Source organism: Homo sapiens, chromosome X (assembly GCF_000001405.40).
Source record: "Homo sapiens chromosome X, GRCh38.p14 Primary Assembly".
In the NCBI taxonomy this organism is placed as follows: domain Eukaryota; kingdom Metazoa; phylum Chordata; class Mammalia; order Primates; family Hominidae; genus Homo; species Homo sapiens.
Genome location: NC_000023.11, coordinates 18224628 through 18237145, shown reverse-complemented (window position 1 = coordinate 18237145; position 12518 = coordinate 18224628). Strand labels below are relative to the sequence as shown.

Genomic DNA, 12518 nt, shown 5'->3' with positions numbered 1-12518 from the left:
ACAGGCTTTCGAGCATCAGCAGGAGGCAGATGTGGGGTTTGCCAGCAGCCTCTGGATATCACCTTGAGACTCACCCACTTCAGTCGTGCAGGCAGCTGAGACCACTGGGGGCAGGGGAGCTTCCCTGTGACTCTTGCAGTCCTAGGTTTCTAGAAACTTCCTCCCTCACCTTAGCCCCTGCCTTCCAGGAGCCATATAAGCTTCTGATTCTGTATTAAACCACTTCCATTCTGAAGATTCAGAATGGCTCATATGTCCCTGACCAGACCTGGACTTGTCTACCTTCTTCAGCGTATCTGTCCTGTAGAGGTGGCCCACCGTTCAGAAAGAAGAGTAAAACTCCCACAGAAAGTGGCCTTTATATTATCTAGTTTAAATGAACTAGTATATTTCATCAAATCTAAGACCCCGTTGATTGTAAGATGCATCGTTTACCAAATAGTGAAGGAAAATGCTACCTATTAAATCACTCACCATTGATTATAATATGCAAACTGGGCTGGGCGTGGTGGCTCACGCCTGTAATCCCAGCACTTTGGGAGGCCGAGGCGAGCGGGTCACTTGAGGTCAGGGGTTCTAGGCCAGCCTAGCCAACATGGTGAAACCCCGTCTCTACTAAAAATACAAAAATTAGCCGGGTGTGGTGGCACGCGCCTGTAGTTCAGCTACTCTGAAGGCTGAGGCAGGAGAATCGCTTGAACCCGGGAGGCAGAGGCTGCAGTGAGCTGAGATTGTGCCACTGCACTCCAGCCTAGGTGACAGAGTGAGACTCCGCCTCAAAAAAAAAAAATGCAAACTGATTTCATAGATGTTAATGTGAAAAGATGGGTGGCTTAAGACATAAAATGTTAGCTCTTAAAAGCTGAACAGGTGGTTTTATTTATTATTTATTTTTTTATTTTTTTTTTTGAGGCAGAGTCTCTCTCTCTTGCCCAGGCTGGAGTGCAGTTGTGCGATCTCAGCTCACTGCAACCTCCGCCTCTTGGATTCAAGCGATTCTCCTGCCTCAGCCTCCTGAGTAGCTAGGATTACAAGTGCGCACCACCACACCTGGCTAATTTTTCTATTTTTAGTGGAGATGGGGATTCACCACGTGAATTTGTCTTTAGTGGATTTGGGGATTCATTACCATAGCTCAAAAATATGGTGAGATGCAACTGATACATTTCCTGCCACGGTTCATTCATTCATTCACTTTTTTATTTATTTGCATATTGGATGTCTTTCCCCACTAGAATGAACTCTTCATGAGAGCAGTGAGTTTCACCAGTTTTGACTCTTGCCATCAGGAATCAATTACTTGTTGATAGAATCGTAATCCTGGGAATCAGATTGAGGCTGTTTTTAAGTAGCAAACACATACAGAGCCATTCCACAAGTGTCAGTGAATGACTGACATAAGGTGCCATTTGGCCTTCGGATTATTTTCTGATTGGTTTCACTTCTGTGTTTTACATACAGCCAGTCAAGCACTGAAACTATAGGAAGAAAGAGGGAGTTATTGGAGGACGGTGTGGCTCTGAAGAGAATTAAAAACTGTAAAATCCCCAACCAGCCACTGGTTTAACATGACATCTTGCTGGCAGCCATTGAGTCACTCACTCTCGCCTTCTCACTAAATACCTTTTGGAAAAAGAAAATGACCAGAACACAGGGTACCCCTGAAAACTAAGAAGGGCAGGCAAGCTTTTGCCCATCTGGGAAATATTTCTACAACTCTCAGGCCCTTGAAGCTGGATTGAGAAAATACGTACATCATCAATTCTAAGATGTTCTTTTTTTTCCCAGGCATGAACGTGTCTGACATCTGGATGGGTTTTACAATCCATGGCGTCTTCAGATGCCATGTAGTATGGTCATTTGGGATGTGGCCATGCTGCACCCCTTGCGTTGTTCCTTCGGGTTATGTCAATTCCAAAACACTCAGCAAACCCTAGCCAAGGAGGCGGCTGCAACTCCTGGAGCTGGGGCGTGGGTAGCACATGTGGACCCCACAGGCACAGCACTGCAGGTGGAAGCTGAAACAGAAGAGCCCTGATGGGAGCACACACTGCCAAGTGGAGTTTTCAAACCCCGTGTCAAAGAACCAGGAAGTCAGGGAGGAAAATGCCCCATAAAGCACTGCAGACTGGCAGGCAGCTGGGCATGAGAGAGTGCACAGCACAGGCACCATCCCCAGCCTCAGGATGCTCACAGTCTATCTGGGAAGACAGCATGAAACATACAAACACCTACGTAACTCATGAGTGTGCAAAATGCGGCAGGTGGCGTAGCCATGAGAGATCCACCAGGCAGCCTCTACCTGGCTGAGAAGATTGTACAGGGCTTGTGGAGAAAGCATTGTTTCCGCCAAGACCTGAAGGATGATGGGCAGGGGTCAAGGGAGGTGTGTGTTGAAGGCCAAAGACCCTGAGCAGGAGTGAACTTCTGTCAAGATACACCCTCTTCCAGTAGGTCAGTGGCTTTCTTTTCAAGACATCCTCAGTACTTCTGGTGATCATTTGATTGAAAACCTTTATCTTTTCCCCAGGATAAACCAATTGTTCCTACACTTTTCCCAAAGGGTAAATTGATCACCTTTATCACATATTAAATCCTTATAAAATGTTTTAAAAAAATAATGTATTACTTGTGTGGAACAAAATTACCCCCAAACTTAGCAGCTTAAAACAACAAACACTCATGATCTCACGCAGGGTCTGATGATCAGAAATCTGGGCGCCGCTCAGCCACGTGGTTCTGCCCCAGGATCTTGCAGGTCATATACTCACTGTCGGCTGGAACTGCAGTCATCTCAAGGCTTGACTAGGACGGGCCTCTGCTTCCCAGACGGCTCACTCATGTATAGGATGACCAGCTTGTCCCCGGAGTTAGCGCTGAGAGGCTTGTGCCCTGGCTCACCCCGCAGTCCTGGGATGGTTGGTCACCCACACACGTTGACTGGAGCCCTTGACTCCACTGTGGCTTTTGGCAGAAGGCCTCCATTCTCATGGGGCTGCCACCTCAGCCACCTATTCCCTCCGGTACAAGGCTCCCAAGACTGTGGCGGATGGGAGGCAGAAGCGATTCAGGAGAGAGGCAGAGGCATCCGAAGACCTTTCACAAAATTGAGCACAGGTTCAGCAACAAGGAACATGTGAATTACAGGAAACAAATACTGTCTTTTGTAGCCTAGGGTCAGAAGTGACGACTTCTGCTGTCTTCTGTTGGCCCGCAGACCATCCCTGATTCACTGTGGGGTGGATTACACAGGAACGGGACTACCAGGGGGTGGGGATCACTGCAGGTCAACTTGTGGGCTGATACCACACATGAAAAATGTTGAGCTTTGCCAGTGACTAAAGAAACACGAAGTAAAACGGGGTGTGTGTGATTCTTCACCTTTTATAAATTTAGCAAAGTCATGGAGGCCATAATCCTAAGAGAATTAGTGCAGGAACAGAAAACCAAATACTGCATGTTCTCACTTGTAAGTGGGAGCTAAACATTGGGTACTGATGGATATAAAGATGGCAGCAATAAAAGAGTGGGGACTACTAGATGGGGGAGGGAGGGAAGAGAGCAAAGGCTGAAACACTCACTGTTGGGTGCTATGCTCACCACCTGGGTGACGGGATCATTTGTACCCCAAGCCTCAGCGTCACACAATATACCCAGGTAACAAACCTGCGCGTGCACTCCCTGAATCTAAAAGAAAAGTTGAAACAAAATTTAGCAAAGGTCAAAGCAATGTCAAATACTCATGCTAACGGTACGTGAATTTGGTGTAACATGTCCAGAAGGCAGTTAGGCGTCACAGAAAAAGCCTGAAAAAGGCACACACCTATTGATTTAGTAATTTCTCTACTTCCAATGTATCCTGCAGAAGTAACCACGTGCTCAAAGAGTAAGGTATTAGCAAGCCTGTTCATCACAATATTGTTAGCAATGACAAAGGGCTCATAAACAAGTCCACAATAGGGGAACTGTTGAAATTATGTTATACTCATTCAATGGGACACATTTGCAGTCATGAAAAATTATACAGGGGAAAGTCATTTATTCACATGGAAAAATACACGATATGTTGATCAAAGCAGGTCACAGGCAGATTTGTAGCATTCCTTCTCCAGGGGATCCCATTATGTGTTCATACTCAGATCTGTTTATATGTCTAGAAGATGTTGGAAGATACACATCAACCCGTCTATAATGGGTGTGGAGGGGCAGGTGGGATTCTAGCCATGTTCTCTTCGTTTTGCTTATCCTCACTCTCTGATTTCTCTGCAGTATACTGCTGTTATAATAATTGTTCAATTTCAAGAACACAGGCTATATCATGTCCAAATCACTGTAGAAGACAAAAGGCAATAAAACATTGCCATTTAGCAGGCAGCAGAAACAGCCAAATCATAAGGAAAAAACATAACGTATGTCAGAAGACCAACTTAATGTAATGACATTACATAGAAACAGATTAAACGCCCACGTTAAAAAGATTCCAGGATTTATTTTAAAAACAATCTTAGGCTTTTACCTACCTCATCATTTACCTTAAATATTAGAATAAAAGGTCCAGCCGGGCATGGTGGTGCCTGCTGTCATCCCAGCTACTGGGCAGGCTGAGGCGGAAGGGTTGCTTGAGCCCAGGAGTTCGAGACCAGCCTGGGCAACATAGGGAGACCCCTGTCTCTTAAATAAATAAAGGACTGGACAGAAACTCATCAGCAAGCAAACAGAAAGTGCCACCATCATATTACTGATCCAGGTGAGGGAGAATTAGAGGCAAAAAGCAGTCAGTACCTCAGGACTGGCTACCTGGTAAGAGGTTCAAGTGCAGATTATGAACTTGTGTATGATCAATTACACGTAATCAACAGCAGAAAGCAGGACCAGATGAACCTTATGGATAATTTAATAGAAAGGCAACAGGAATGAAAGACTTTGTTCTCAGCTTTTGATAGATGTATGCAAAATTAATGGCAGATATTGGTATCATTGTAAAGGCATTATTAATAGACATCAAATTCAAAAAGGGAACACAGCCTTTTCAGGACTCCATAGAACGTTCACAAAATTGGGTACCTACTACGCTACCAAGAACCCTCTGAATGTCAGAAAGCACAGTACAGGCTATGGTCTGCGGCAGAAAGTTGGAAGTTAATGAGACCCTCTGAGGCACTAACAACAAAATCAACGATCACCACCACCACCACCTTTCTAGGCAAAGCTTCTTTCCTGAACTTTCTCCTTGTGTTCCTGGCCCGTGTATCCAACCGTCAGCTAATGTCTCCACCTCCAAGCCACAGCCATCTCCTGCTCATCATCCCTGAGTCTTTTCCCCTCCTCTTTTTGCCATTCTACCCCTCTCTAGTCCTGCCTGTGTCAATAGCGCCCTCAGGGAAGAGTCATGAGTGTGGGTTTGCCATCTGCTGCTTCACAAACCCTTTTCACCTTGCTTAAACCTTCAGTTTTGCCTCTACTCTTTTAGGTGAAGACAATCTTTAAAACCCTCTGAACTAGACAAAATTACATTCCCTTTAACAAAAGCCATATTCCCATGCTTCCTTCTAATCTTTTACTAAAGAAACATTATACTTTCCTTACACACCTTGTATGTAAAACTGTTTCTCCAGTAGTGTCAATTACATATTACAGTGTTAACTCTTAGCAACTTTTATTTTTTGTGATCTCGGCTCACTGCAACCTCTGCCTCCTGTGTTCAAGTGATTCTCCTGCCTCAGCCTCCCAAGCAGCTGAGATTCCAGGTGTGTGCCACCACGCCCGGCTAATTTTTTTGTATTTTCAGTAGAGATGGGATTTCACCATGTTGGTCAGGCTGGTCTCAAACTCCTGACCTCAAATGATCTGCTGGCCTCTGCCTCCCAAAGTGTTGGGATTACAGGCGTGAGCCACCACACCTCGTTAACCAATAATTTTTAAAACTGTCTTTATTTCCAAAAGATTGCTAAAGTCACATGAACAAAAGGCACTGAAGTTTCTTTTATGTTATTTTTTGTCAGACAAAGTCTTGCTCTGTCACCCAGGCTGGAGTGCAGTGGCGAGATCTTGGCTCACTGCAACCTCTGCCTCCCAGGTTCAAGCCGTTCTCCTGTCTCAGCCTCCCGAGTAGCTGGGATTACACGTGCGCACCACCACGCCCGGCTAATTTTTGTATTTTTAGTAGAGACGGAGTTTTGCCATGTTGGCCAGGCTGGTCTCAAACTCCTGACCTCAAGTGATCTGCCTGCCTCATCCTCCCAAAGTGCTGGGATTACAGGCATGAGCCACCATGCCCAGCCTATGCCTTATTGTATTACACTCAATGCCAACACATGATGTGGCTCTGACCATCTCTTCCTGTCTTCCTTTCATTGGTACTCACACAGGATCTGCCCCCGCCCGTCTCTTCTGTCTTTCTGTGCTCCATCCTCACACCTCTTCTGCTCCTGTCCATGTCTTTCTGTTTTAGTAGGGTCCATATCTACCCGTGATGTGTTTCCTTCCCTTCTCTAGTTGTCTTACTTGATTCTGACCCTTACTGAATATTGGACCCATCCTTCTCTTCTCGGCCACTCTTGTGAAGCTGCCCTGGCCATTTCTCCAAGGCTTCCGCATGTCCAGCTTCCTCCTGAATTCAGGCCTCGCCTTGCAGTGGCTCTTCCTGGGTTTCTCTGTTCCCAGGTGTTGGGGCTTCTTCCTCTTTGAACAATTCATGTCTCAGTTCCAATGTGGCCTCTCAGAGAAGTCTTCTGTGACTGTCCTTCTTGGCACGTCCTCCCTTCCTTGTCATCCCCTTTCACACGCCTTCGGAAAGAATTTTGTTCATTTCTGTTTTCCCTCCCCTTGCTGACCAGAAGGTCAAGGTCAAGGCCTGGTGTGTGCGGCTGCCCGCTCTGTCCCCGCCTCTCTCTGTCCCCGCCTCATGATTGTGCATGGCGCCCTGGAGGTGCTCAGTGAGGATGTGTTCAATGAAGAAGTGAATTCCAGGAGTCAAGACACAGCTCAGCAGGAGTGGCCATGCACGCTGAAATTCACGGGACCCCAAGGCAGAGGAAAGCTGGGAGGAGCCAGTGGATTTGGACTGCAGAAAGCCGGTGGTCGGCTGTGGCTAACTGCGCTTGCAGGACCCACGAGGCGGAAGGTGGTGGAAGGAGGGACTGGGGGGTGGGTTCAGGGAGGAAAAGAAACGTGAGAATTTGAGTGGCTGGAGAAGAAAACACGCGGCCGCAAGCGTGTGAGGCAAGCCTCCGGCCAGGGGCTTGGCTGTCCTTCGGGGTGGGCTGGTCCTGCTGTCGTGTTGCCGTCGGGGGAGGGAGCTGGGGCTCCTGGCCTGTAGACAGGGCTTGGCTTCAGGCACCAGGAGCCGCTGTCTACACGTAAGAGAGGCGCGAAGAGCTCAGGTTGGAAGGGGGTTGTTTAGAGGACACCGTGCCCCGAGGCAGGTTGAGAGGCAGGAGGACTGCTCAGATGGGATTCGCGGGTGAGGGCCGGGGGCTCAGTGAGAGGGCTGGGGAGCTTGATCTCCTGGTGCAGCGGCGGGGCTGGAGAGGGCAGTGAAAATGGAGACCATCAGAGATAGCCCTTGGGCCACGGGGCCGGGGTCCAACAGCAGTTGGCGTCATTTTGCAGGGGGAGGAGTCGTGGAGCCTGGAGGGGAGGTGCAGAGGCTTCTCAAGCCATCCACGGGGGGTGCCAGGGTCAGGGGGCCACAGAGAGCAGAGGCCCAGCACTGGAAGCCAGGGAGGCGGGAGTCCAGGACAGGGTGCCCCTTGGGTGAAGGCAACACACAGACTCCCGTACCAACACGTGCGCGGGTCACCAAACCCACACCAAGTCAGAAATTCCAGTGCACGCAGACGGTCTACCAGTTCCTGCTGGGGGCCTGCGGAGGGCCCATGGGCGCCGCCTGTTCTCAGGGCTGGCTCCCGCTGGCTTGGCCCTGTCCACGGAGGCCCCTCCATGGCGCTTTCCTTGCCTCTCCTTTCAGGGCCCCTCCTCCGTCCAAGAACCTCAGAGCCTTTAAGAAAGGGGTTGGAGAGGGAAAGACCTGCCCAAGGCACTCAGAGCTGGGCCCCCCTCCTCTGCCACCTCTGCCTGTGTGGCTTTGTCACAGGGCTCAGGCAATCCGAGTCTGTTTTCTGCTTGGTCCAATGAGGATCGCCCCTCCCCTGACAGTTCAGGGAGATCAAGAAGGGGAAGTGCCTCATCCCAAAGGGTGCCCACTCTGTCTCTGCCTGTCTCCCTGCCTTTCCCACCCCCACTCCCCTGCTACTCCCTTTTCTACAGCCTGGCCACAGCTCACCCAGCCACACACACAGTGGAACTGCAGCCCCAGGAAACCTTACTATTAAGGAAGACTTTAAATTCCTTCTCCAAATTCTTTTGAGCTTGGGTTCTGGACAGCTGAGCAGGGCCTGGAGCAGGAAGGACCTTGGGTCGGCTTTGAATGGGATCCCAGGAGCTGTGGGAATCAACTGAAGGGTGATCAATGGCGGGAGGCCACACAATCAGATTGGTATTCTGGGAGCTCTGGAGCTCTCAGCCAACAGGAGCTGACCATCTGCTCCGCGCACTACCTAGGATGTGCATCCCAACAGCGTATTTTCCTTGGGGTCCACTCGAATAATTTCTTTCTGCCTTTTCCTGGGCTGTGCTCAGAAGAGCAAGTGTCCCTCTGAGACTAGCCCAAGTTGTTGGGTTAATGACCGCGAGTGAAGCACAACTCCCTTTCTCTTTAAAATGGTAGAGGAAAGTACTTTCAAGCTTGCCTGAGGTCTGAGAAGCTGAGCTTTCTGCAGTGGTCTTAGCGGAAACTTTGACTACAGCGTTCAAAAGGCGTCTTTCCTGTTTGCTTTCTCGGCATGAAAACGTCAAGGTACAGAATCCAGAAAGGTCACTGTAGCCTGGCCCTCTGTGATCTGGATTCGAGGCTGCAGACTCTGTTGAACTGGGCGAGCAGGAAGGCAAAGTGCGCTGGGGCCCAGTCTCCTGGGGCCCTGAAAGGGTAGGATGGTGCAGGCCGGTTCCCCCACCCAAACGCAGGCGCGGGAGGAAGCCACATGGGATTTGCTTCCCCACCAGGAGCTAGGTGAGTGAGAGGTGTGCCCCAGAGTCATGCACCTGGTGGCAATCAGCATGGGCTGATGGGGTCGGAGGAGGTGACAGCTCAGGTTGCGCCTAATTAGGAGGCCTCCTCCAGCTGGAGGTGCTGCCACCTTCCACCACCTCTGGGGCACACCTAAGACTCTGCTACCCGCCCCCCAGGAGGCTGAGTGCTAGACTCAGCCTGGGAGACAGGGTGAAGTTCTCAGGCAAATTTTACTCTACTAAGGTCACCGTTTTGTAGGTAACACAGAAATGGTGAGGTGCTAGCCTGTCACTCTGTCCCATGCTCAGCCTGTCTCCCCTTTTCATCGCCATCTCAACCCCATCCATCTTCCTCCCTCCCTCCTCTCTCTTTTTCTCTCTGACACACGCATGCACACACTCACACACAGACACGTGTCTGTGCCCATGAACACATGGGATCCAGCTTTCACAACCGATGGCCGGAGCTCGGTGCTGCTCTGCAGCTCCTCTGGGCCTTTCCCTGTCCTTACAAAGAACATACCCACTGATGGTTAATATTGAGTTTCAACCTGATTGGATTGAAGGATGCAAAGTATTGTCCCTGGGTGTGTCTGTGAGGGTGTTGCCAAGGAGATTAACATTTGACTTAGTGGACTGGGAGAGGCAGACCTACTCTCAATCTGGGTGGGCACCATCTAATCAGCTGTCAGCACGGCCAGGATAAAAGCAGGCAGAAGAGCATGGAAGGACTAGACTGGCTTAGTGTTCTGGCCTACATCTTTCTACCATGCTGGATGCTTCCTGCTCTCAAACATCGGACTCCAAGTTCTTCAGCTTTTGGACTCTTGGACCTTCGACCACAGACTGAAGGCTGCACTGCTGGCTTCCCTACTTTTGAGGTTTTGGGACTCAGACTGGCTTCCTTGCTCCTCAGCTTGCAGATGGTCTATTGTGGGACTTTACCTTGTGATCGTGTGAGTCAATCCTCCTTAATAAACTCCCCTTTATATATACATCTATCCTATTAGTTCTGTCCCTCTGGAGAACCCTGACTAATACACACTCCTTTGTCAAACCTGCTGCCCTTAGGGCCAAAAACCCACTGCAAACACTGGGGTCAACAAAGCAGCAGGCTCTCAGGGCCTCATGAAAGCATGGCGTTGCACACCTTGGCCAGGCCACTGGAGCTGTGTCCGGGGCTCCAGGCCACGGGTGACGACCACTGTGCCTGGTGAGATGGACCCCCCGGGGTGGCAGGAGTTTGAATGGAGTGGAGTGGAAACAAGTGGAGAGTGGCGCCATGGCCAGCTGGATGCTGCTCTCTGGCCATATTGTCCCCTCTCGTGTCCTGTGGGCTGCATTTAAGTCAACTCTTCCCCTCTTCTTGCAGGCCCAGCAGGCAGGGCAAGGCCTGCTTGCTTCCACTGCACATCAACTAGGTTGATGCTAGGAACCTGCCTCGTTGGTCGGTGTGAGGCTTCAACGTCCTGATCCTGTTGCTGACAGTGCGTGGAGCTGCAAGTAGGTGATCCGGCCTGGCCACCATGAGAGGCGCCTGCAGCTTCTGAACCCCGAGTTGGCTGCCCCCACCAGGCACATGGGCATCTGTGGGCTCAGGCTGGGCATCAGGGGTCTTGACAGTTCCCCTGGTGATCCTGGGGTGCAGCCGGGGTGGGGAACCCGGTGTCTGGCAGAGTGACCAATACAGGCTGTGTTGTGGGAGTGCCCTGGCTTTCCCTCCCCACTTGCTCGAGGGCAGAGGCTGCCAGTCTGGGCCTGCACTCCTGCCACCCCTTCCCTCCTCCAGCTCCCCTGGGGAATGCGTTCCCTCCTTCCATGAGTTGCATTCCAAGATCCCCAGCCTTCACTTGCTCTGTTCCTCTCCTCCCCAGAAACGTCAAGGCCTCTGCTTCAACTCCACACCTTGCAGTGCGCTGTGTCCCCAGCTTTCATTTTAGCCTGCCACTGAAGCTGCCAACTCCCAGGCCAGCGAGCTTCTCTCTTCCCAGCTTTGCTGGGACACGGAGGTTTCCCATGAATGAAGGGTGAGGAGGCTCCCTTCTGAAAACTTGGACCCTCCAGGGTTTTCAGTCTGGGTCCTCCCCCGGGATGTCCCAAGAGGCTCACAGAGCTAGCTTCCTTCAGAGGACTGAGATGGCTAGGCCAGCGCCCATGCCAGGACCACTCTGGCAGGAAGATACCTGTGGTTGTTGGGGAGTGGGGGGTAGGGGGCGGCAGAAGGCCCGTGTCCCCCAGTATAGATGTTTCCATTTCTTCTTTCTCCTGCTGTCTTATCTCCTCCTATATCTGGTTCTATTTCATTTTATGCTGGATATTCTATTTCAAAATTCTTTGTAATGCCCATTATTAAAAACTCAAAAAACAATAAACGTTGGCATGCACATGGTGACAGGGGAACGCTTATAAACACTGCTGGTGGGAACGTAAATTAGTACAAACTCTATGGAAAACAAAGTGGAGATTCCTTAAAGAACTAAAAGTAGAATTACCATTCGACCCAGCAAACCCATCCCACTACTGGAAAATAAGTCATTATATGAAAAAGACACATGTACATGCAGATTTATTTATTTGTTTGTTTATTTATTTAATTTGCGAGACGGAGTTTTGCTCTTGTCACCCAGGCTAGAGTGCAAAGGCGTGATCTCGACTCACCGCAGCCTCTGCCTCCCGGGTTCAAACAATTCTCCTGCCTCAGCCTCCTGAGTAGCTGGGATTACAGGTGCCCACCACCATGCCTGGCTAATTTTTTTGTTTTTTTGTATTTTTAGTAGAGATGGAGTTTCACCATGTTGGCCAGGCTGATCTTGAACTCCTGACCTCAAGTGATTCACCTGCCACACATAGATTTATTACAGCCCAATTCACAATTACGGAGATGTGGAACCAACCTAAGTGCCCATTGACCGATGAGTGGATAAAGAAAATGTGGTATATATACACCATGGAATACTACTCAGCCATAAAAAGGAAAGAAATACTGTCTTTTGCAGCAACTTGGACAGAGCTGAAGGCTATTATTGTAAGTGAAGTAACTCAGGAATGGAAAACCAAATACTGCATGTTCTCACTTATAAGTGGGAGCTAAGCTATGGGTATACAAAGGCATGCAGAGTAGTATAATGGACATTGGAGACTCAGAAAAAGGAGAGTGGGAGGACGGTGTGGAATTAAAAAAACTGCAGTGGCTCACACCTGTAATCCCAGCACTTTGGGATGCTGAAGCTGGCAGATCACCAGAGGTTAGGAGTTCAAAACCAGCCTGGCCAACATAGTGAAACCCTGTCTCTACTAAAAATACAAAAATAAGCCAAACGTGGTGGCGCGCACCTGTAGTCCCAGCTACTCAGGAGGCTGAGGCAGGAGAATCACTTGAACCTGGGAGGCAGAGGTTGCAGTGAGCCGAGACTGTGCTACTGTACTCCAGCCTGGGCAACAGAGTGAGA

The 12518-nt window shown here is 49.8% G+C and overlaps 2 annotated features.

Moving 5' to 3' along the window:
* Positions 6766-7432: an enhancer, noted in NCBI's record as "H3K27ac-H3K4me1 hESC enhancer chrX:18247834-18248500 (GRCh37/hg19 assembly coordinates)". NCBI's record gives its function as "activates a minimal SCP1, AML or CMV promoter by ChIP-STARR-seq in primed H9 embryonic stem cells {active_cell/tissue: H9 hESC(primed)}" and the evidence as "EXISTENCE:reporter gene assay evidence [ECO:0000049][PMID:30033119]".
* Positions 10570-11071: an enhancer, noted in NCBI's record as "H3K4me1 hESC enhancer chrX:18244195-18244696 (GRCh37/hg19 assembly coordinates)". NCBI's record gives its function as "activates a minimal SCP1, AML or CMV promoter by ChIP-STARR-seq in naive H9 embryonic stem cells {active_cell/tissue: H9 hESC(naive)}" and the evidence as "EXISTENCE:reporter gene assay evidence [ECO:0000049][PMID:30033119]".